Genomic DNA, 25502 nt, shown 5'->3' on the forward strand with positions numbered 1-25502 from the left:
TTTCCTCTTAATTTTTTAGTTTGTGCATGTAAAGGTTTTCATAATAGTTTCAAATGATCTTTTGTATTTCTATGGTTTTGGTTGTAATGTCTCCTGTTTAATTTCGAATTAAGCTTATTTGGATCTTCTCTCATCTTTTCTTCAGTAATCTCACTAATGGTCTATCAATTTTGTTTATGTTTTCAAAGAACCAGTTTTTTGTTTCATTTATCTTTTGTATTTTTTGTGACACTAGCTTGTCAATTTGTGCTCTTTCCGACTTTTTAATGCAGGCATTAAACGCTACGAACTTTCCTCTTAGCACTGCTTTTGCTCTATCCCAGAGGTTTTGATAACTTGTGTCACTACTATCATTCATTTCAAAGAAGTTTTTAATTTCCATCTTGATTTGTTAACTCAAAAATCATTCATAAACATATTATTTAATTTCCATGTAATTGTATAGTTCTGAGCATTCCTTTTGGAGTTGATTTCTAGTTTTATTCCCCTGTGGTCTGAGAAGATATTTGATATTACTTCAATTTTCTTAAATTTATTGAGACTTATTTTACAGCCTATCATGTGTTCTATCTTGGAGAAGTTCCACGTGCTAATGAGAAGAATGTATATTCTGCAGTTGTTGGGTAGAGTTGTCAGAGATGTGTGAACCAGAGCAACTCCATCTTAAACAGGAGCTGGGTAAAATGAGGCTGAAACCTACTGGGCTGCATTCCCAGATGGTTAAGGCATTCTAAATCACAGGATAAGATAGGAGGTCAGCACAAAATACAGGTCATAAAGACCTTGCTGATAAAACAGGTTGCAGTAAAGGAGCCGGCCAAAACCCACCAAAACCAAACTGGTGACTAGAGTGACCTCTGGTCATCCTCACTGCTACACTCCCAACAGTGCCATGACAGTTTACACATATCATGGCAACATTAGGAAGTTACCCTATATGGTCTAAAAAGGGGAGGCATGAATAATCCACCCCTTGTTTAGCATATCATGAAGAAATAACCATAAAAATGGGCAACCAGCAGCCCTCAGGGCTGCTCTGTCTATGGAGTAGCTGTTCTTTTATTCCTTTACTTTCTTAATAAACTTGTTTTCATTTTGCACTGTGGACTTGCCCTGAGTTCTTTCTTGCTCTGTCACCCAGGCTGGAGTGCAGTGGTGCGATCTTGGCTCACTGCAACCTCTACCCCCCGGGTTCAAGCGATTCTCCTGCCTCAGCCCCCCAGTAGCTGGGACTATAGGCGTGTGCCACCACGCCCGGCTAATTTTTTGTCTTTTTAGTAGAGACGGGGTTTCACCGTGTTAGCCAGGATGGTCTCGATCTCCGGACCTCGTGTTCCACCCACCTCGGCCTCCCAAAGTGCTGGGATTACAGGCATGAGCCACCGCGCCTGGCCGCCCTGAAATCTTTCTTGCATGAGATCCAAGAACCCTCTCTTAGGGTCTGGATTGGGACCCCTTTCCTGTAACAGAATGTTCTTTAAATATCTGTTCAGTCCATTGTTCCACAGTGTAGTTTAAGGCCATTGTTTCTTTGTTGACTTTCTGTCTTGATCTGCCTAGTGCTGTCAGTGGAGGAATACTGAAGTTCGCACTATTACCATGTTGCTGTCTATCTCATTTCTTAGGTCTAGTAGTAATTGTTTTATAAATCTGGGAGCTCCAGTGTTAGGTGGATGTAAAGTTTAGGATTGTAATATCTTCTTCTTGGATTGATCCTTTTACCATTATGTAATGACCTTTTTTATCTTTTTTAAACTGTTATTGCTTTAAAGTCTGTCTGATGTAAAAATAGCTACTCCTGCCTGCTTTTGGCTTTCATTTGCATGGAATATCTTTTTCCACCCCTTTACCTTGAGTTTATATGAATCCTTATGTGTTAGGCAAGTCTCTTGAAGACAGAAGACATTTGGTTTGTGATTTTTTTATCTGTTGGCTGCCATTTTGTATCTTTTAAGTAGAGCACTTAGGACATTTATGTTCAATGTTAATATTGAGATGTGAGGTACTGTTGTATTCATCATGTTAGTCGATACCTAGATACTTTGTTTTTTTTCATTGTGTTATTGTTTTATAGGCCCTGTGAGTTTTATGCTTCCAACCAGTTCTATTTTGGTACATATTGAGCTTTTGTTTCACAATTTAGAACTCCTTTTGGCATTTCTTGTAGTGCTGGTTTGGTAGTAGCAAATTCACGTAGAGTTTATTTGTCTGAAAATGACTTCATTTCTCCTTCATTTATCAAACTTAGTTTTTCTGGATACAAAAAAAAAGTTTTCTGGATACAAAAAAAAGTTTGACTGACAGTTATTCTGTCTAAGGAGGTTAAAGACAGGACCCCAATCCCTTCCAGCTTATAAGGTTTCTGCTAAGAAGTCTACTGTTAATCATCAGGCTATCTAAAGTCAACATGAAGGAAAGAATTCTAAGAGCTGTCAGACAAGAGCATCAGGTAACTTATAAAGGATTTTTTATTTTAGATAAGTGAAGTCCTTCTAATTTATTTAACCAAGTATTCACTATACACATTTAGTAACATGCAATATAGTATATGTATTAAAAGTTGGCATGTAAAATAACATATCTTTTTCGGCAATTTAACTATATGTATCAACAGTCTCAAAAATATTCATACATTTTCACCCACTAATCCCATCCTAAGAATCCTGAGTTACTGTGATCAAATATAAATGCACAATATATTTATACTAGACAAAAATTGGATACACAATGGTACATTTAAGGATGTATGGAAGAATGGATTGATAACATGGCCTTCAGGAAGTCTTCCAAAAGTTTCATTACTTTAGGTGATTTTGTTTTTGCAACCAGGCTTTTGATAAAGATAAAATAGTAAAAATTTCAATACTACATTCTTGAACCTTGAATTATGTGTTCTCAACACTATATACAGAAACTCTGATATTCATTCAGACAAAAATTAGGTTTAAGGTCCACTCAAGAAAATAAAAGGTATATTTCAATAGACAGCATTTCCGATCAAAGACACAACGTTTGGTCAAGGGTGTTTCTAGGAGTCATGGGAGAGAATAACTGAAAATAACGCTGGGAAATTAGGCTGTGGCCAGACTATGAAAATCTTTAAATGCCCAGATAAGTCTGCATTTTATTCTCTAGTTGCAAGGATTTATAAAAGATTTTCAATGTAAAAAATTATGATCCAAAAAGTACCTTTACAAAAAATTAATCTGGCAGCAATAATGCAGTACTTTACAGAATCTGAGTTAGAAGAGTTCCTTAAAGGCTTCTGATTCAACTACCCTCAAGGATGGAATGCAGGGAGAGTCCCAGGAGACAGGGACTAAAGGGCAGGCTGCTGCAGTGATCTGGATTTGAGGGGATATAGAACTCAACAAGTATGGCAGAAATTGGAATAAGAAGGAAGTGATCTGGGTCTTAAAGTTAATGCAATTTTGTACTAAAATGTAAGTCAACTAACAATTACAACTATAAGCTCTGGATTCTGTCTACAAACATTTTTGTTTTTTATCTTAAGTCACTGGCAGACTATGTAAGAAGTCTGGAGCAGAATACCTATCTATCAGTCTGTCTCTCTCTCTCTCTCTCAATACAGGGTCTGGCTCTGCCACCCAGGCTGCAGTGCAATCACATGACCTTGACTCACTGCAACCTCTGCCTCATGGGCTCAAGCCATCCTACCACGTCAGCCTCTCACCTCAGCCTCACCCTCCCGGGACTATAGGTGTGTACCACCACGCCTGGCTAATATCAGTTTTCTTTAATAAAGCACATGGCAGGTAAAAGACTATCCTGTACAAACCCTTGACAGTAAGGGCAGGCTCAATTACATTCAACTCTCCAATTCCATTCATCAAATCATCTTAACCCTATTATTACTTATGTAAAATGCAGTTTATCTGTACTGATTTTTCAGAAAATGTCCATAATTATCTCTTTTGTAGTATCAATATTACGCATATCTCTAAACAATGTTGATTTCTTCTCAGTTTCTCCAAGTTGGATTAATTATCTGCTCAATCATTGCTAATACAGATATACATACCATCATTACGAATGACATGTCATACAGGCAATCTGAAACAAGAGATTTGACTCAAGATTCTTTTTAAAACTTAATTTGGTTGTAATTCTGATATAATTTATCGATGTGGTCCAGGTTAAATGAATTAATCTTCATATTTCGTATCACTGGACTTTTTCTACATCTTTTAAATGTGCTTTTCTACATCTTTAAAATGTTTCTACATCTTTTAAATCTCCCTACTTTTTGGTAGTTCTTGACGTGTTTTAAAAGCTCAATGACAGTCATAGTTGCATAACTCTGTGAATAGAGTAAAACCACTGAATTGTACACTTCACATGTGTGAATTTTGTTATGTGAATTATACCAAATATGACACCGTTATTATCTTAAAGTCTATTGAGAATGAACAGTGCTAAGTAATATAATACTCCAGCCTGCAACTAATAATCAAAATAACCTAACCACTGCCCTTCCCAAGGCTATAACTGCTGATAAAAATATATGTTTGTTCAACTGAAGTAAAGAGATGCCATAGGTACACTTGGACAGATACAGAATACTTATGGTCCATTTACTCTAATATTAACATTTCCTCACATTCTCTGGAAATATAGAAACTGAATCTTGGAGTTGACTAAAGGAAACTAACATGTGATTAAAATAGTTAATCATGGCCGGGCGTGGTGGCTCACGCCTGTAATCCCAGCACTTTGAGAGGCCAACGCGGGTGGATCACAAGGTCAGGAGATCGAGAGCATCCTGGCTAACACGGTGAAACCCCGTCTCTACTAAAAATAAAAATAAAAAAATTAGCCGGGCATGGTAGCGGGCACTTGTAGTCCCCAGCTACTCTGGAGGCTGAGGCAGGAGAATGGCATGAACACGGGAGGCGGAGCTTGCAGTGAGCCAAGATCGCGCCACTGCACTCCAGCCTGGGAGGCAGAACAAGACTCCATCTCAAGAAAAAAAAAAAAAAAAAGTTAATCATAAACTCACAAATAACTACATCATTTATACTTTGGTGAAGTCATTTATATATGCATCATGGCTAAAGTCTAAGCATCTGTTAAGAGTTTAAGAAACATAATTTTTTAATTTACACAGGAATAGGCACCTTTTTCTCAATACTTAAGTTTGATTTGTAGGCTATTTATTTTTCTTTTTTTTGAGACAGAGTCTCCCTCTGTTGCCCAGGCTGGAGTGCAGTGGCGCGATCTTGGGTCACTGCAATATCCGCCTTCCGGGTTCAAGCAACTCTCCTGCCTCAGCCTCTTGAGTAGATGGTTACAGGCACGTGCCACCACGCCCAGCTAATTTTTGTATCTTTAGTAGAAACGGGGTTTCACCATGTTGACCGTGCTGGTCTTGAACTCCTGACCTCAGGTGATCCACCGCCTCGGCCTCCCAAAGTGCCAGGATTACAGGTGTGAGCCACAGCGCCCAGCCTTGTAGGCTATTTATAGTCAACTCTTGAGAACTCATAATAGAGAATGAAGACATAAAAAGTTATTACTGAAAGGAAGATTAATAATTAGCTAGACAAGATCATATATACATTTATAGAAGCATAAAAGGCCAAGGCCTAAAACAACCAACTTCTTTATTTTATGGATGAGGGCACTGAAGCTCGCAAGAGTTAAAAGTGTTGTTCGAAGTAACAGCCGGTAAGTGGAAGAGTAAGGATTCAAGCCTAAGACATTCTTTGTGTGTGTGTGTGTGTGGGTGTGTCTGTGTGTGTGAGAGAGAGACAGAGTCTTGCTCTGTCGCCCAGGCTAGGGTGCACCGGCATATTCTCAGCTCACTGCAACCTCTGTCTCCTAGGTTCAAGCGATTCTCCTGCCTCAGCCTCCCGAGTAGCTGGGATTACAAGCACGTGCCACCACACCCGGCTGATTTTTGTACTTTTAGTAGAGACAGGGTTTCACCATGTTGGCAAGGCCAGTCTCGAACTCCTGACCTCAAGTGATCCACATGCCTTGGCCTCACAAAGTACTGGGATTACAGGCATGAGCCACTGCGCCAGGCCTCAAGCTTTAGACATTCTGACTCCAAAACCCAAGTCTTCTGGGATTCATAAGCAGAATTCTCATTCCGCAGCCAAAATTAATTTACAGGCCAAAAACATTAACTTTAAACTTATCTTTCTTTTTTTAAAAGGATAAAAACATTATTAATCTCTAAAGCAAGCATCCTCTGTGAGTAGAAACTTTAAATTGCCCTTTTAAAGTTTCAAAATAGTTTTATCAAATATAACTCTTAATTCAAAACCAAAAACTGTTTAAAAATGAAGTCAAACAAAACTACAACAGGTCAGTATCTATGTGTTAAAGAGTGATTGTAGGGATAGTGCTTGTCTTTTTACCTTTAGCCATGTCACACTCCTTAATCATTTTGAGAAAGTTGGAAATTTCCCTATCTAGTCGCTGTTGGCATGACTGTGCTTTCTGCAAAAAAAGAAAAGACAAAATTAAAACAAAGTAATAAAAGATTTTACATTACTTATGCTTTAGTGTTTCTATCAAAACTTTCAGTACATAGATTGATATACCATAACAGAGACATATGCCTTAAAGAAAAGAAAAAGGTGAGAGAAAATTTCCTTGTAAACTGAATATAACATTTAATCAAGTGTAAAGTAAAAATAAATATTTTAAAGGTTTAAATACATTCAACATCTGTTGTGTAGATACCATACAATTGCATCCATTACTATTACTATCTCATTATGCCATGTGTATCTGAGGAATTATAATTCTCTGATTTATTAGCACTTTTAGTAGGCCTCATGAAATTCATCAAGAAATTATAAAATGCATTCCTTAAAAATATATTTTAAAAACTGTTTTGTTCAGAAAAAAAAATCCAGATGGTCCTAACATTTGGAAACCACAAGCTGATTCTCGTTCAGCAATCTAAGTGCATACAGCCCCCACATCATCAAACCAAAAAGGACATTTTCTTAGTGTGTCAAAGCTTCTGAAAATAAGGTAAAGTCAATTATAGAAAGCATTCTTCCTTGTAATTTGAAAGTTCTACATTTTTAGATCCCTAAAGGCAAAAAAACATAAATATAGAATTTCTTGATGAAAGTTACATCCCATCTTAGTGCAGATTTAGAAATCCAAAATGAAAGATCAGTCAAATCCATTTATTACATTAAAAATGTCATTTTGAAGGCAGTTTTATATATCATTTCCCTTTAAAGAGGTGGGAAGAATAAGCAAGAAAATTATTATTGTAAATTTGCTTGGTTATCAAAATAGAAAATATTTATTCTGAGAATCTTGACCTTATAAACAATCGAATCACATTCTTTTAGGTAGAGTAATATATTTAGCCTTATGAAACTTCCCTACTTTGTACTCCTAATCTCAGCTAGCCCATCACAAAACATTTTGCACCCCCAAAATCAAACTTACTATAGATCAGTATGTCAAGGTGGCATAGGTAAATACTCTTTTCTCCTATTTCACCTTATAAATTTTTTAGTGCTTACAAAGTTCAACTCAACCACAGTAGAATTATTCATGTTATCACATTAGTGACAGGCAATATTCTCTTCAAAATTTGTATTACTCTCCTTTGTTTTGAGGGCTCTAACAACACCTACGTACCATTCACTTGGTGGAGAGCAGGGGGAGAATACCTACACTATGCAATTTAAAACACCATATATGCCTGATAATTTTTCCAGACACAGCCTGTGAATACAGGTTGAGGGGCAGGGAAAAAGTTTATCTAGAGGCACCAAAACATGCACTGCAACCAAATGCATCACTCATGATGAATAGAAAATCATCATTCTTGCTCTATACATATTTAATACTCTGCTTATGTGCAAGTCAATGATACTGTTTTATCCTTCCTATGATGAAAGTAAGCTAGAGGCATAAAAGTAAGCAATGGCTTCAATTGCAGACTATGAATCTGTAATAAACAGGATAGTTTTCCTAAGTTATAATTAAAGGCAGGAAACACCTTCTATAGCATCATCTTCAAATACATGAATCACATTTATCTTCCCTTGAATCATATTTCCATCTAACAGTTATTAATAAGTTTCCTTGATCGACGATTTACTTGTTTTAAAGGGTACATAACAGGTCAGCTGGAGAAGATCCAATCTACACATACTGTTTTAAGTTGTGTACAAAGTATGTCTTCTGTTCTAAACAACTTAGTGCTTTTTAACTGATACTAAAAGATACTAAAAAGAAGAGGTTATTAATATAATAAAACATAATATGGTCTCCCATTTGCTTAGTCGCTACTAGTTATATTTTGAAAAACTAAAAATCAATTTATGAAAGTTAATTCTTATTAATATTTTGCAGAGTCCAACATGGTTTCTCATTTTTGACTTCTATGCCATTGATATTATGTCAGGAACTGATATGATTTGGCTGTGTCCTCACCCAAATCTCACCTTGAATTATAGCTCCAATAATCCCCATGTTTTGTGGGAGGAACCCGGTGGGAGGTAATTGAATCATGGGGGTGGGCTTTTCCTGTGCTGTTCTCATGATAGTGAACAAGCCGCATAGGATCTGATGGTTTTATAAAGGGGAGTTCCCCTGCAAAAGCTCTCTTGCCTGCTGCCATGTAAGACATGCCTTTGCTCCTCCTTCACCTTCCACCAAGATTGTGAGGCCTCTCCAGCCATGTGGAACTGTGAATCAATTAAACCTCTTTCCTTTATAAATTACCCAGTCTGGGGTATGTCTTTATTAGCAGCATGAGAACGAACTAATACAGGGACTCTTTTTAAGTTTTAATTTCTATTTATTTATTCTACATAAATGGAATCTCACTATGAGCAATGTTATAATACCTAAAGTTTAACAGTATTTTAACTTTGCCCAAGTTATCTGGACAAAGCACACAAGAACAAGGATTAAACCCATTGATACAGGGGCCTAGAGGATCAGAAGTTACCCCAGGTGAGCAGCTGAGCCACATTTACAACACAGGTCTCCTGCTTAGAAACCAAAATTTTAGCTGTTGGTTTTGTATGAGTTAAGCTGATGTTAAATTACCTTATGATCCCTAACCTACAGGGCAGCTCGAAAATGCATATCAAGGGGGTGAATAGCTAGAGAGGAATGCATAGGCTAGTAGAGAAGTAATTAATTCCAGGCTATTTGCTGCAGAAAATCCACATTTGGTTAATTAAGCACAGAAGCAGATTGCCACCTACTCAGCAATAAAAATGAATAAACTACTAATACACACAACATTACGGTGAAAAAAGACACCTAAGAGCACATACTGTATGATTCCATTTACATGAAATTCTACAACAGGAAAACTGATCATGCTTATAATGACATTGTCATTATATCAGTGTCATTAGGTCAGTGGTTGCCAGAGATGGAAGTGGAGGGTATTATCTGGGAAGAGCAGCAAGGGAACAACATTTTGACATAATAAAAATGTTCTCTATCTTGATAGGAGTGGTGGTTACACAGACAATACACATTTGTCAGAATACATCAAATTGAAGACATAAAGTGAATTCCTTTTTTCTGCAAACATTATATTTCAATATTAATTCAAACTTTAAAAATAATAGATTGTCAAACTCTGATCACTTTCTTCTTTGCAGAAAATGGCCGCTATTACAAGCAGTGGTGCCGTAGCACTTATCTCTAAGTCTTCCTAACTCCAGCCAAATCCACTTCAAAGATAGCCCCATACTCTGGCCAGGCTCGGTGGCTCATGCATGTAATCCCAGCACTTTGGGAGGCTGAGGCAAAAGAATCATTTGAGCCCAGCATTTCGAGACCTTCCTTGCAACATAATGAGACCTAATCTCTACAAAAAAAAAAAAACAAAAACAAAAACAAAACAATGAAAAAATTACCCAGGCTTGGTGGCACATGCCTATAGTCTCAGCTACTTAAGAAGCTGAGGCAGGAGGATCACTTGACCCCAGGTGGTCAATGCTGCAGTGAGCTGTGATCACACCACTGCACTCCAGCCTGGATGACAAAGTGAGACCCTGTCTCAAAAAGAAAAAAATAATAACCCATACTCCATCTTTCCTAAGTCAACCCAAAAGCACATTTATTCTTTCTGACATCTGGCGATTATTATGCCCCTGCTTTGTAACTTTCTTAGGGTTTCACTTTGCAATATGTATTTACATAAAGTAAAAATAAAAAACAAAAGGATATAGAGAGAAAAGTAATTCTCCTTCACACACTTGACAATCTTATTTTGCAGCTTTCTCAGCTGCAGAGCAACAAGTGCTAATTTCTCATCTTTCCTGAATGATCTAAGTCTACACAAATATATATGTGTACATCCCTGTTTTTTTTCCTCCCAAGTAGTATCATATTTGGTACATCATTTTATGCCTTGTCCTTTTCACTTAACTGTATATCTTAAATATATCAGCATATATACATCTGCCTCATTCTTGCATGGATGTACCAATCTTTATTAGCTCCACGTGGATGTACATGCAACTTTCTGCACATTTATTTTAGTTGGGAATCAGTTATTCTTTTTTTGTTGTTGTTTTTGAGAGAGGCTGGCTCTATCACCCTATTGCCCAGGCTGGAGTGCAGTGGTGCGATCTCAGCTCACTGCAGCCTCCGCCTCGCAGGTTCAAGTGATTCTCGTGCCTCAGGCTCCTGTGTAGTTGGGATTACAGACGTGCACCACCATGCCTTTCTAATTTTTGTATTTTTGAGGCAGGATTTCACCATGTTGGCTAGGCTTGTCTCGAACTCCTGGCCTCATGTGATCTGCCCGCCTCGGGAATCATTTATTCTTAAATCAGAAAAGCTTTATCTTATTTTCTCATTCCATTAAACTCGAGCATCATCTGCTCATTACTTTTTTTTTTTTTTTTGAGACAGGGTCTCACTCTGTCGCCCAGGCTGGAGTGCAGTGGCGTGATCTTGGCTCACTGCAACCTCCACCTCCTGGGCTCAGGTGATCCTCCCACCTCAGCCTCCTAAGTAGCTGGGACTACAGATATGGGCCACCACGTCCAGCTAATTTTTGTATTTTTAGTAGAGACAGGGTTTTGCCATGTTGCCCAGACTGGAGTGCAGTGGTGTGACCACAGCTTGCTGCAGCCTCAGCCTCAAAATTAAAAAAAAAAAAAAAATTTGTTTTTAAGATGGGGATTCGCCATGTTGCCCAGGATAGTCTGGAACTCCTGGGCTCAAGCAATCCACCCACCTCAGCCTCCCAAAGTACTGGGATTACAGGCGTGAGACACCATGCCTGGCCTGCTCATCACTTCTTGTAACACAAAAACAGTTCAGATCCTACAGAATCAAGACATCTTCAACAAATAAAACCCCCACTTTGCTAGTACCACCCAGAGCCTCTAAGAGCCTATCCCAGCACTGTCCAATAGAACTTTCTATGATGCTGGAAATATTCTATATCTTCGCTGTCCGTTGTGGTAGCCACATGTGGCTACTGAGCACTTGAAATGTGGCTAATATGTAGTTAAATATAGTTAAAATGAACAACTGAATTTTTTTTTTTGAGTCGTCTCACTCTTTCGCCCAGACTGGAGTGCAGTGGCACAATCTCACCTCACTGCAACCTGTGCGCCCCGCCCCGCTGGGTTCAAGCAATTCTCTTGCCTCAGCCTCCAGAGTAGCTGGGACTACAGGCGCCCGCCACCATGCCTGGCTAATTTTTGTATTTTTAGCAGAGACCAAGTTTCACCATGTTGGCCAGGCTGTTCTCAAACTCCTGACCTCAAGTGATCCACCCACCTCAGCCTCCCAAAGTGCTGGGATTACAGGCGTAAGCCACCGTGCCCAGCTGAATAACTGAATTTTTAGATTTTAATTAATTTAAATGTAAATAGCCACATGTGTAAATAGCCACAGGAAAGCTAATAGCTATCATATTGGACAGCGCAGTTCTATACCAATACCATGCTTGATTAATTTCTAATTTTTATTTCTGAAATATTTTCAAGTTGCTATTACAGCAACAACCATGAGGTCAATAATTAATTCTAGGACTTGTTTTATAGAATTATATTGTATAAGACAATGTTTACCAAAAAATGTTTATACTGAAAAACTAACTCACTCTCTCTCTCTCTTTCCTTCTAAGAGACAGGGACTCACTATATTGCCCAGGCTGAACTCAAACCCTTGGGCACAAGTGATCCTTCCACCTCAGCCTTTCCCTCATTTCTTATAGGTCTGTGTACTAATCCAAAAGCATGTTAAGGAAATAAAATCAGTTTTGTTGTTAATTCAGATGATTTTAGAGTATATCAGTCCTAGAATGACTAATTCCCCTTAGAATGTCTATAGGTATCAAGAATAGACCTTTCCATAAATTGGCCCCTGAATTTCACTGGAACTTAAAAACTCAAGAATGAAGGGCATCCTGGAGCCAGTCTACTGACAAGCTATGATTCAACACACTTCAAAGCTCATTTTGGATTTTACCTATTTTGAACCAGTCTCCAGATGTTGAGACAGAATCAAGATTCACAGCATTGGCCAGGCATGGTGGCTCATGCCTGTAATCCGAGCACTTTGGGAGGCGGAAGCGGGAGGATCACTTGAGGTCAGGAGCTTGAGACCAGCCTGGCCTACATGGTGAAACCCCGTCTCTACTAAAATTACAAAAATTAGCTGGGCATGGTGTTGTGTGCCTGTAATCCCAGCTACTCAGGAGGCTGAGGCGAGAAGATCGCTTGAACCCGGGAGGCGGAAGTTGCAGGGAGCCATGATCGCATCACTGCACTCCAGCCCGTGCAACAGAGCAAGACTCTGTCTCAAAAAAAAAAAAAAGAAAAAAAAAAAAAAGATTTACAGAATTAGCATTCAAACTCTGTTGGAGAGGAACATGCAAAACGTAAAAGTGCTTAACACTATAGTGCTAAAACTCTCATTAACTCTAGGTGCAATAAAATCTAAAAGGCAAAAGCTTCATGGTTTTAAAGTTAACATGTGAACAAAACATTAAGGAATAAACTGAAAGATATAGTCGAGGTTGATGACCTGAAAATTTGAAAATTATGCTAAAGAAGAAATCTTGCCGGGATGTTGTGGCTCACGTCTGTAATCCCAGCACTTTGCGGGGACGAGGCGGGTGGATCACAAGGTCAGGAGATCAAGATCATCCTGGCTAACACGGTGAAACCCTGTCTCTACTAAAAATACAAAAAAAAAAAAAAAAAAAATTAGCCAGGTGCGGTGGCAGGCGCCTGTAGTCCCAGCTACTCGGCAGGCTGAGGCAGGGGAATGGCGTGAACCCTGGAGGTGGAACTTGCAGTGAGCCGAGATCGCGCCACTGAACTCCAGCCTGGGCGACAGAGCAAGACTCCGTCTCAAAAAAAAAAAAAAAAGAAAAGAAAAAAAAAAAGAAGAAATATTTTTAATGGTATGTAAGTTAGTATGCTTTTATTTTACCTGTAACTTCCATTTAAAAACTTTTAAAATTATCATAATCCTAGGAAAGATATTAGTATGCTTTGTCAATCCTTCCAGGTTTTATCATTTACCTCTTATTGACGATAGGTAAATAGGGAAGGATTTCTTTTCAATTAGGGAATACCAACTGAAAGTTAAAATATTTAGCATCGTTTTATTTTTTTACTTGTTTAATGTAATTTTGGCCATATGTATTTAAATCTTCCATATTTTCCCAGTTTTAATGTTACTTAAATGCTGTAGTAGATGTTACCTTTGCAAAGTTCACTGATCTGAAAATTTTGTTTATGGTTCTCACATACACATTAGGCTTTAAACCAGAGGTAGTATGGTAAAGGAGTTGTCATCAATTCTGGGGAATGTCTTCAACAAACATGGGAGAGTTCAAATTCTTTAATGTTCCATCATAAATTAAGATTAGGGATTGAAAGAGTCAAAATACCTTTTATATTTTAATGTAAAGGTCCCTAAGTTGATAAAACTCCATAGGTATTGGGGAATTTAACTTCATTAAAGTTGAACTAGAAACATTCAAATCTTGCCGCCAACTCATTTAATTTATAAAGACAAAAATTAAATTTAGTAGGCAAATTCATATATCCTGACGTAATTATTCAGACTGAAACTCATCATCATTCCATAGTTCTAATTCTTCCGAACTCAATTCCCATTCTTTTAGACACAAGATGGAAATAAAAGGTACAGCCAGAAAATTGATGACCCCTCAAAACACCTATTTCATTTCAATTACCTATGCTGATATTCCTCTAGGGATAAGGCACTGGTGTCACTTCAGAAGACTTCTCCATTCATTAATGATGCTTTACCTTATCTCTTAGCAACCAAGCTACAGATTACAAGTGGTTTTAAAGGAAACCTACCAACCAGGAAAGGTATCACTATGGTTGCATTATTTAAACTCTGAAATGTGCAGTGAAGTCATAAAGGGCATCAAGTCAAGCTATGCATGCTCCCCATCCTCGCAGCAACTTTCAAACAAAATGACGGTCTGTTAACAGCAACGTAAAAAGTTTCAGCTAAAAAAGTACAGTGCCTTTAAGGCACATGTCCATCTCATCAGAGCATATCTACAAATGCATTTGATAGTATTACCATGAGAGACATAAGCTACCAACACAATGCAACTCAGTGAAGAACAGTACTATTTCTATTGTTGTCAGAAATCATAATTTCAAAACCTTACATCTTAAAGAAAAAAGTTCTTGATTAAACCTCATGACATAGATAGCTATAAAGGTCAGGTTACATTTTCCTATTTACCTCTAATGATTTCTTCAGGTCTGCAGCAGAAACCGTATCTTCCTCCTCCTCATCAGTCAGCTGGTCCTGGGAACAGTAGTGAGTGCTGTAAGCAGAATGTTCTTCTATTGCTTCCAGCCAGTCCTGAAATCATGCAAGAATTTAAATGAGAGTGAAAAGCATTTTTATTCCAAAGAGATAATATTACAATGATCTGATAAGCATAAAATTTACCTAGTGAAATAAATATTATGGCCTCAAAAGGGAAAGCAAAGCAACCAGTAATGAAACAGCAATGTGGGTCTCTTGTCCATGATATGTCTGGATAAAAGCTTTTCCTAGTACTTTAAAAAATATCATCTATAAGTTTACATATTCATGAATGTTAATATTCAAACACATTACAGAAATTAAATAATGGGAGAAAACTTTGTCACTTAAAATTATAGGTTCTCGTTTTCAATATTGAGAACCTGTAATTTTATAACCTAACAGAATAAGTTACTATATAGTAATGGATCCAGACACACAATTTTACTAACTTACACTCAAATTAGAAGCACAAGAAACTAAGGTCATATTAAAACAGCCAATACTTGCCCTGATGCATTAACTTTTACTATATTTTTTAAATAACAGTGATTTCACAAAAAGAATGTTTGGCCTAAAAATACCCTATCTTACTTTTTCCTCATTTTCTTACACTATACTCAGGGTCAAATCTTACCATTTTATGAAATGTTGGGAGAGTCATGAGTTAGATTGTTTAGGGTTCTTTGCATGGCCAAAGTTTACCACTTTGGAAAATAGATTATTTTAACCTCTTACATAGTTTACCAAAAAATCAAGATATGTCTATGAACACTGCTTTGATTTAAAAGAATAAGAATAGGCCTGCCGCGGTGGCTCATGCCTGTAATCCCAGCACTCTGGGAGGGCAAGGTGGGCGGATCATGTTCGAGACCAGCCTGGCCAACATGGTGAAACCCCATCTCTACTAAAAATACAAAAATTAGCCAGGCATGGTGGTACATGCCTGTAATCCCAGCTACTCGGGAGGCTGAGGCAGGAGAATTGCTTGAACCAGAAAGGCAGAGGTTGCAGTGAGCCAAGATCACACCAGTGCACTCCAGCTTGGGTGACAGAGCAAGGGAGGCTCTATCTCTAAATAAATAAATAAATAAAAGAAAAAGAAAAGGGCCGGGCGCGGTGGCTCATGCCTGTAATCCCAACACTTTGGGAGGCTGAGGTGGGCGGATCACAAGGTCAGGATTTCGAGACCAGCCTGACGAACGTGGTGAAACCCTGTCTCTACTAAAAACACAAAAATTAGCCAGGCATGGTGGCATGCACCTGTAATCCCAGCTACTCAGGAGGTGGAGGCAGGAGAATCACTTGACCCAGGGAGGCAGAGGTTGCAATGAGCCTAGATCCCACCACTGCACTCAAGCCTGGGCGGAAAAAAAAAAAAAAAGAATAGGGATAGTCCATTAAGTGACTGCACCATAAGTATTGGTCAAGTAAATCCCAATTTTCTAGCTTGCTGCTGTTGTTTAATTTATCACTAGGAAGGCTGAGTCTCCATTGTAATGAGTGTCAGAACGCCTGGCTTGTAGTCCAGGTTCTGTCACTCACAAGCTGCCTGGCCTTGGGAAATCACTTCAATCTTACAATCTTTAGTTTCCTCACCTATAAGTTAAGGCGTAGACCTGTCATTTACATTAAAAGGATGCCCCTTACATTCAGAGAATTAAAATTGAAAAACAAATTATGAACAGAAAATACCTGCAGGTACATGTTGATAAAGAACTAATTCATGTACCAAATTTTAAAGGCTTCATTTAAAAAGTACAATCAGGCCAGGCACAGTGGCTCATGCCTGTAATCCCAGCACTTTGGGAGGCCAAGGCGGGCAGATCGCCTGAGCTCAGGAGTTTGAGACTACCCTGGGCAATGTGGTGAAACCTTGTCTCTGCTAAAATACAAAAAAAAATTAGCCAGGCGTATTGGCACGTGCCTGTAGTCCCAGCTACTCAGGAGGCCGAGGCATGAGAATCGCCTGAGCCTGGGAGGCAGAGGTTGCAGTGAGCTGAGATCGCGCCACTGCACTCCAGCTTGGGCTACAGAGTGAGACTCTGTCTCAAAAACATAAATAAATAAAAATTTAAAAAAATTAAAAGTACAATCAACAAGATGTTGGATGTTACCACTGAACCTATGTTATATTCTCCGTGTCTTTAAATGTTCTGTAAGTTTTAGGAAAGATACATGAATCCATAAGATTACCTCTCTTGACTGCTGAAGGCTATTCTTAGGAACCCGGAAGCCATGAATGGTGTCATCAAAGCATTTAATAAAGAAGAGGCAGCTATCAGTGGATTTTACCTTGGATATAAAGAAGTCAGTAAGACAACATTCATTCACATAAAAGAGGACCCTAAAATTATCTATACATAAAATTTAAAGTAGTGACATGACTTAACGATACCCAGTTGAACACTTAAGTATTGACAGATAAAAATTGGAAAAAAATAGATTACAGTGGGAGTATCAAATGCACTGTAGAACTATGTTGAGTCTGGCTCTCAACTTCTTAGTTACTCAACATAAATACTATGGTTCATCAGGTTTGTCGTTTTATTTTTATCTTTTCTTAAGTATAACTTAACATGCACTTGGGTTATAAAATCGTTTAGCTACCACAGTTCCCATTTTTTATTCATACCCGTCGCCTTACCTTTTTGTTTGAGCTGAGTATAAAATAATCAGCAGTAGATAATGTTGATAAAGAAGGAGAAAAGGGAAAGAGAGTAAGACGGATCAGAAATAATTATGGGTTTTAAAATAAAAATTTGGCATGAAAAGGATTTTAAGCCATTTATGCCAGAGGTTGCAAAATGTTTTGTGAAAAATCAGACCTTGGCGATGACCTTGAGCAGTAGGATATAAATAACTCCCACAAGCTTAGCGTTCCAATAATGGAACACCAGGCATAAATGGGTTAAGAATGGGAAAAGGTAGATTTCTTCAAGACCCTATCAGAGGCCCCCCACCTGTTGCAGAAAACAACTATAAAACCCGGATACGAAAGAAAAGGCAACCACATGGAGGAACCTGGACCTGAACAAAAGCTGACAGACTCCGATGGGAGTCACGCTCTCTGGAGGAAAGGGGCCAAGGAGCTGTGGAAGTAAGTTCCCATGCCTAAGGTTTTGCACCTGGGACTAAGCACAGTCCACATGGTGACAGGACAGCAGCAAGGGCACATGTGGCAACTCCTGTCTTTGGACATTAATAAAGCAAACCTGGGAACCCATAAGCACCAAGGAGAACAGGGGAATCCCCCAAGGGAAAGAGACAGAGAGATGGTCCCCAGATTCTGTCTGCTACTCACATCTCTGACTCATGAGCCACACACACATAGAAGCAGCTCATATAAACACAACCTATCTGAACTGAGTCCAGAGCCACTGCCCAAGACACATAGCTCATAATCCAAACCGAACCAAGAAAAGGACTTGCTGCAATGGACAACACTTAACAGAGAAAAACAACAGAATCCAAAATCTCCAGAACTCAACATTCATAATATTAATAATATTATGATTATTATATATTATAATCATATTAATATTATTATATATTATAATCATAATATAATTAATTATATATATTATATAGTAAAATATAAAATTATAATATAATATATAATATATAATAAAGTATATTATATACTATATAATAAAATATATAATATATGTAATATATTATATAATAAAATATATAATATAATATATAGTATATATTATATAATAAAAAATATAATATAATATATAGTATATATTATATAATAAAATATATAATATATAGTATATATTATATAATAAAATATATAATATATAGTATATATTATATAATAAAATATATTAAAGATATTATATATTATATAATATTATAATTATATAATAATAATATTAATAATATTAAGAGTACCATCCAAAATTACCTGACATACGGGCTGGGTGCGGTGTCTCATGCCTATAATCCCAGCACTTTGGTAGGCCAAGGCAGGAGGATTGCTTGAGGTCAGGAGTTCGAGACCAGCCTAACCAACATGGCAAAACCCCGTCTTTACCAAAAAACACAAAAATTAGCCGGGCATGGCAGTGTTCACCTATAATCCCAGCTACTCAGGAGGCTGAGGCAGAGAACTGCTTGAACCTGGGAGGTGGAGGTTGCAGTAAGCTGAGATCGTGCCACTGCCCTCCAGCCTGGGAGACAGAGCGAGATTCCATCTCAAAAAAACAGAAACAAGAACAAAACAAAACCAAACCCACAATTACCTGACATATGAAGAAGCATGAAAGTAGAACACATTCACAAAAGAAAAATCCAATTAAAAGGCAAAAATTGCCAGAATGGGTAATAGGAACTAAAACATACGCTATCTCCAAGAGACAGAAAATAAATATAAAGATACATATAGGCTAAAAGCAAATGGATAGGAAAAAGACACCATGCGAACAGTAAACATAAGAAGGCCAAAGTGGTTATGTTCATATCAGACAAAATAAATTTTAAAACAAAATGTATTACAAGAGATAAAGAGGGCCACAAAACAATAAAAGGATCAATTAATCAAGAAGACAACAATCATAAGTATGTTATCAATAACAGAGAAGGAAATGCAACATTCCACAAGCACAGTAGGACACTTTCACATTCCTCTTTCAGCAACTGATACAACCACTAGCCAAAACCAAGACACAAAAGATCTGAATGCTATCAACCACCATGACTGAATTAATATTGATAGGTCCCTACAACCAACAACAATAGCAAAACAACCAACAATAATAGCAAAATACACATTCTTTTCAATTGCATGTACTAGGATATTTCATCATCAAATAAGCCTGGGTAAATTTGACAAATATTTTTGGACAATCCATCTCTCATTCCATAATAATACATGGAGATAAATAAAAGTTAACTATATTTTAAAATTTTGTTCAAAATGGAGATGCCACGACTTTACTTGTTATCAAATTAAAATATATACAAGTGTTTTCTACAGCATTCCACAGAACCCCAAGATTTTACAAGGCTGTATAAATGATTTGGGTCAATCACTTGAAGAACTGATTTCACAGTTAGAGGAGCAAATGATCCATGTTTCATCCTACCGTGCATACTGCTTGAGTCAGGTGTTTGCATCCCTGGCGATAAATATTATGAACTGCATCAGGCCTTCAAAATAAAAATGAAATTATCAAGACAAAAGGAAAAGAGACAAGTGAAAAAAATTCGTATTTCAAAATTTATACAGTGAAATTTGATAAGTGTAAAGATCATAATACTTACTGTTTCCTATACCATGAAAGGACTCCATGCTCTAACACTACCCAGAATAATCTCCAGCCAAAAAATCTTGAACTCTAAGGGAAAAATAACAAAGATTTCCCAAGCTGACACATCTAGATTCAAATGCTTGACTGATAAAAAGTAATTAAGTGAGGACAGTCATATTTGAGTCTTTAGACAGTAGCACTGAACAGTAAAAAAAAATGATCAAACATGAACTTAGGTACTAAGTGCAGTAATGAAAACATACCACTACAGGGTGACAGGAACAGCAGAAATGCCATACTGATAAGATCAATGATGATTACAGTTTATGGTTCTGACAAAACTGTTCAGGGATTATTTACAGAAAATATACCAGTTGTGGGCTTCAAAGACAATTTCCTCAAAGTCATGAATGAATGTCTAAAAAAGAAAATTATCCTAAATTTATCTTATACAATATAAGCATACAGATACATAAATAGATTAAGGGATTGCTTGCAAATGCAAAAGAAATTATGTGCTCTTCAAGGTTAATTCTAGAAAACAGGATTCTCCAAAATGTAGAAACTGTTAGGACTGGAAAAATTTTATATATGTACCATGTGATAATTCAAATATTAATTTTCTTCTAAGTCTTCCATGGTTTGATGTTCATAACAAAAATAATACTGTAATTCTTTGATCTAGTAAGAAAAAAATGTATTTTCCCCCCACTCCTTTTCATAAAAACTTAGTCACCTAAAAGTGACTCATCAACACCAAAAAAACACCTAAAAGGGACCATCAACACACAGAAAAGTAATGGCTACAACCAGTGGAAGCCTCTTGAAATCCAGTAGTATAAAAGTGGCTTGCCAGTCACGGTGGCTCACACCTGTAATCCCAGCATTCTGGGAGGCCAAGGCGGGTGGATCACGAGGTCAGGAGTTCAAGACCAGCCTGGCCAAGGTGTTGAACCCTCGTCTCTACTAAAAACACAAAAATTAGCCAGGCACGGTGGCGGGCGCCTATAATCCCAGCTACTTGGAAGACTGAGGCAGGAGAACCACTTGAACCCAGGTAGTGGAGGTTGCAGTGAGTATACCACTGCACTCTAGCCTGGGTGACAGAGCAAGACTCTGTCTCAATAACTAAAAATAAAAAAAAAAATCAGTGGTTTACATTATACGATCCAAGAGCGATTAAATCACATATACTTCAGAAATGATTTTTTAAAAGTTTTAAACAGAAATAGAGCACCTGAGAATTATTCTTTACAGTTATATAATTAAAAAACCACCTCAACTTACCTTCCAGAGAGGGCCCTCATATCGTTTCAATGCTTTGTAGATGACCTGTCAAAAACATGTTTTCATGAAAAATGCATCTACATATTTCAAACATTCAAAAATTTTTTTCTAAAAATTATTAGATAAATTTAATTCATTACTCTGTACCTTATTACCAACAAGAATGTGTTTCATTTCAGCACCCTGGGCAAGGTCAAGAGGTTTCTGATCTGTGCAAAATACAAAGAAAAAAAGCCATCAACAGCTTAAATGTACTATGACAATCAATGCTGTAACTGCAGCATCTAATAGTCCTTCATTTTTCTATTGCCTATATCTTTTTCTTTCCCCAGAAAATTACCTACCAGAGAGAGGTTGCCATCTCAATTATTTATGGCCTCCCTTTTGGTCGCTAACTATTAAGCCAGCAAATCAGATTAACTTCACAACAAATTATCATGAACTCATAAATTTGTGGCTTAAACAATACAAATTTATTATCTTACAGTTTCAGAGATCAGAAGTCTGAAATCAATTTCACTGGGCTGAAATCAACATGTGGACAGAGCTGCATTCCTTCTGGAGGCTCTAAGGGAGACATTTCCTTGCCTTTTCCACTTCTAGCGGCCAACTACCTGACTTGACATGGGGTCTCTTCCTCCATCTCCAAAGCACATCATTCCAACCTCTGCTTCCAGCATTCTGTTCTCTCTCTCTCTATAGCCCTCCCTCCTATCAGGAGCCTTGTAACTACATAGATCTACCTGGATAATTCAGGATTTCCCCTCATCTCAAGATACCTAACTAATCACAAATTTGGGGTCCACTCTTTAGCCGACCACAGCCACGCTTCAGCCGTCTCGCTGCATAATGGGTAGCAGAGATGGCTCACAAGCTGAGGGTGTGATGGTCCACAATTTAGGACAAAAGAAAAAGGTGACAATGGAGAATAAAGCCGGCAAGCTATCAATGTTAATTTTTCCAACCTTACACATGCACATTCCATGTTTTGCCCAACAACAACAAAAATGGAGTTTGTCTTATCAAAGTTATTTATAGAGTTCTGAAGTGAGCAGGACATTAAATGAAGGACAAAAGGTAAAAAAACAAACAAACAAAAACCCACAAATAAATCAAACCATCTCCTAGCCTCAAATAGCTTATTATTAGAGAAATGAAAGCTACCTATGAAAATTAGAACAGTCCTTTCAAAACAACATATCAATGAGAACTCTGGAACTGTTTATGCAGGAAGGTGATATATTCTATCAGATAACCTTTTAGGCCAGGCGCAGTGGCTCACAACTATAATCCCAGTACTCTGGGAGGCTAAGGCGGAAGGATGGCTTGAGGCCAGAAGCTTAAGACTCGCCGGGGTAATACAGTGAGACCTTATCTCTACAAAAAAAAAAAAAAAAAATTTAATTAGCCAGGCACGGTGGCATGTGCCTACAGTCCCAGCTACCACTGCACTCCAGACTGGGTGACAGAGTGAGACTCTGTCTCTAAAAACAAAAAGGGGGGCTGGGGGTGGTTTAAAATAATAATATTTTTATAAATACCAAACATCTGGTATGTGTTGGCAATTTTTTTGTATGATATCCCCTAATGAGGGTCTGTTATGTACCGATTACTATTTTAGGCACTGAGGATTCAGCAGTGAACATAACAGAAAAAATACTGGGGGGATGGGAAAGCATAGAAGGTGGGAAAGACAGATGATAAATTAATTCTTAAAGATACAGCAGACAATGAACCACGGTACGCCCAGACTTTTTAAATAAATGATTTGACAGAGTAACTGGGATACCACTTTAGATTGGAGGATGAGGGGTTGATCAGGGAAGGCCTCTTTGAGGAAGGGATGTCTAGGTTGAAAAGAAGGATCCAGCCTTGTGAAAATACAGGGAAGGACATTCTAGCAGAGGAACAGCTGATGCAAAGGCTCTGAGGTAGGAACAATTCAGCAGGCAAGAGATAAAGTCAGAGAGGCACGCAGAGGCCACATCACACAAGGGGTTTGTAGGCCAGACTTTTGTAAGCCAGCATAAGGAGTTTGAGTTTTATTCTAAATAGGATGAAAAGCCACTGAAGGGTTTTAAGTAAGAGTAACATGATCTGACTCATGTTTAAAACTCTGTCAAAGTGTTAAAAAATTATAATATAGGCCGGGTGCAGTGACGCATGCCTGTAATCCCAGCACTTTGGGAGGCCGAGGTGGGCAGATCACCTTAGGTCAGGAGTTCGAGACCAGCCTGGCCAACATGGTGAAACCCCCATCTCTACTAAAAATACAAAAATTAGCTGGGTGTGGTGGCAGGCACCTGTAATCCCAGCTACTCTGGAGACTGAGGCAGGAGAATCACTTGAACCTGAGAGGCGGAGTTGCAGTGAGCTGAGATCGCGCCATTGCACTCCAGCCTGGGGAACAAGAGCAAGACTTCGTCTCAAAAAAAAAAAAAAAAAGAAAAGAAAAGAATAATAATAATAACTGGGAAAACACAAACTTTGGCAGTTCCATGATTTTGATAAATTACTAGAATATTATTAATAGGATAATGCTATTGTGCTTATGTTTTTTAATAGCCCCATTGAGATACAAATTAACATACAATTTACTCACTTAAACTGCACAAATTCAATGGTTTTTATAGGTGCACAGAGTTGTGCAACTATCACATGCTTGTGGTTTTTGTTAAAGGGTGTCCTTATTTTTTACTAATATACTGGACTACAGATGTTCCCCAACTTACAACAGTTCAACTTAATGGTTTTTCAACTATCACAGCTCACCACAGCCTCGACCTCTTGGGCTCAAGTGATCCTCTCACCTCAGCCTCCCTGGTAGCTGGAACTGCAGTCATGTGTCATCACACCTGGCTAATTTTTGTATTTTTTTGTAGGAATGGGGTTTCACCAGGTTAGTCTCAAATTCCTAGGCTCAAGCGATCTGCCAGCCTCAGCATCCCAGAGTGCTGGGATTACAGGTGTGAGCTACTGTACCTGGCCTTAAGTGTATTTTCAATTTACAATGGTTCTATGAGGACGTGGCCCCACAGTAAGTTGAGGAGCACTGGGTATGTATGAATAAAATGGCATGACAGGCCTTCTCTTTCCAGTTCTTCCCAGAATTGGGAAAAGCTGGGTTGAGAGGGTAAGAAAAGAAAAACAAATAAATTTTTTAAAAAGAAAAAGAGATGGCATGATATCTGGAATTGTTTCACAAGAATTCAGGGAGTAGGAAGAGATACAGAGTGGCCATTATTGCTAAGTTCTGGAGGAGGGTGATGGGTACATCAATTAATTATGCTATTTGATTTCTGAAGCTTTGATAATTTCCATGATTTTTTTTAAAAAGGTCACTCTGGCTGTTGTGTGCAATATGGCTTGTAAACGTGGGCAAAAGAAATGCAGGGAGGCTAATTACAAAGAGATGGCAATAGTGCAGGTAAAGGATACTGGTGGTTTGGACTAGAAAGTCAGTAGTAAAATGGAGATCATTTTTAACATAGAGAGAAATATGTGACTTTTTTTTTTTTTTTTTTTTTGAGACAGAGTTTCCCTCTGTTGCCCAGGCTGGAGTGCAGTGGCACCATCTCAGCTCACTGCAAGCTCTGCCTCCCGGGTTCATGCTATTCTCCTGCCTCAGCCTCCTGAGTAGCTGGGACTACAGGCGCCCACCATCACGCCCGGCTAATTTTTTGTATTTGTTTTTTTTTTTTTAGTAGAGATGGGGTTTCACTGTGTTAGCCAGGATGGTCTCGATCTCCTGACCTCGTGATCTGCCCGCCTGGGCCTCCCAAAGTGTTGGGATTACAGGTGTGAGCCACCGTGCCCGGCCTTGTATGTGGCTTTAAGATTTATTTTGGAGGAAGATTTATAGAGCTGCTGATGGGGAACCTGGGGCTGGTGATACATTACTTCTTTAGTGGGGAAAAAACTTTTTAAAACATTAACCAAAAAATTAATACTCAGTTTAGTTTTTCTGCCTAGCACATAGGAAAATGCCTTATAGAGGTCTGCCAATTCTGTGTTATTTTCATTCTACCTACAGGGCACTTTGGAGAAATTATTTCTTTAGGCAGAGAGAAAGACAACACTATGATTTCTTTCATAGAATTCTGCCCTAATACCAAAAATAAATTCTGAACTCCTGCCAACTAGATGAAATTC

At 38.0% G+C, this 25502-nt stretch overlaps 1 protein-coding gene and 1 non-coding gene across 4 annotated transcripts in view, besides 2 other annotated features; one reads left to right on the top strand and one right to left on the bottom strand.

Moving 5' to 3' along the window:
• The window catches only part of OSBPL1A (oxysterol binding protein like 1A), a 235780-nt gene that overhangs the window by 135206 nt on the left and 75072 nt on the right, over positions 1-25502 (bottom strand). For 2 of the 3 annotated variants that reach the window (XM_017025530.2, NM_080597.4), the window contains exons 8-14: positions 21498-21559; positions 21351-21395; positions 20077-20150; positions 19899-19962; positions 16999-17097; positions 14734-14856; positions 6387-6468 (exon numbers count right to left, since the gene is read on the bottom strand). In XM_017025530.2, coding sequence (XP_016881019.1) covers positions 6387-6468; positions 14734-14856; positions 16999-17097; positions 19899-19962; positions 20077-20150; positions 21351-21395; positions 21498-21559 — 549 coding nt within the window. Of the gene's footprint in view, positions 1-6386; positions 6469-14203; positions 14257-14733; positions 14857-16998; positions 17098-19898; positions 19963-20076; positions 20151-21350; positions 21396-21497; positions 21560-25502 lie in introns of those variants that run through there. The other variant, NM_001242508.1, reaches the window with a different exon arrangement.
• Positions 3640-3813: a silencer, noted in NCBI's record as "fragment chr18:21880854-21881027 (GRCh37/hg19 assembly coordinates)". NCBI's record gives its function as "represses an EF-1alpha promoter that drives an FKBP-Casp9 reporter gene in an ReSE screen in K562 erythroleukemia cells {active_cell/tissue: K562}" and the evidence as "EXISTENCE:reporter gene assay evidence [ECO:0000049][PMID:32094911]".
• Positions 18021-18221: a silencer, noted in NCBI's record as "peak3073 fragment used in MPRA reporter construct". NCBI's record gives its function as "represses an SCP1 promoter by STARR-seq MPRAs in K562 erythroleukemia cells {active_cell/tissue: K562}" and the evidence as "EXISTENCE:reporter gene assay evidence [ECO:0000049][PMID:32103011]".
• Positions 24425-24496, top strand: MIR320C2 (microRNA 320c-2). The gene has a single exon (NR_031724.2). It is a non-coding gene; the product is annotated as a microRNA 320c-2 (primary transcript).

This window comes from Homo sapiens, chromosome 18, assembly GCF_000001405.40.
Source record: "Homo sapiens chromosome 18, GRCh38.p14 Primary Assembly".
NCBI classification, from domain to species: Eukaryota; Metazoa; Chordata; class Mammalia; order Primates; family Hominidae; genus Homo; species Homo sapiens.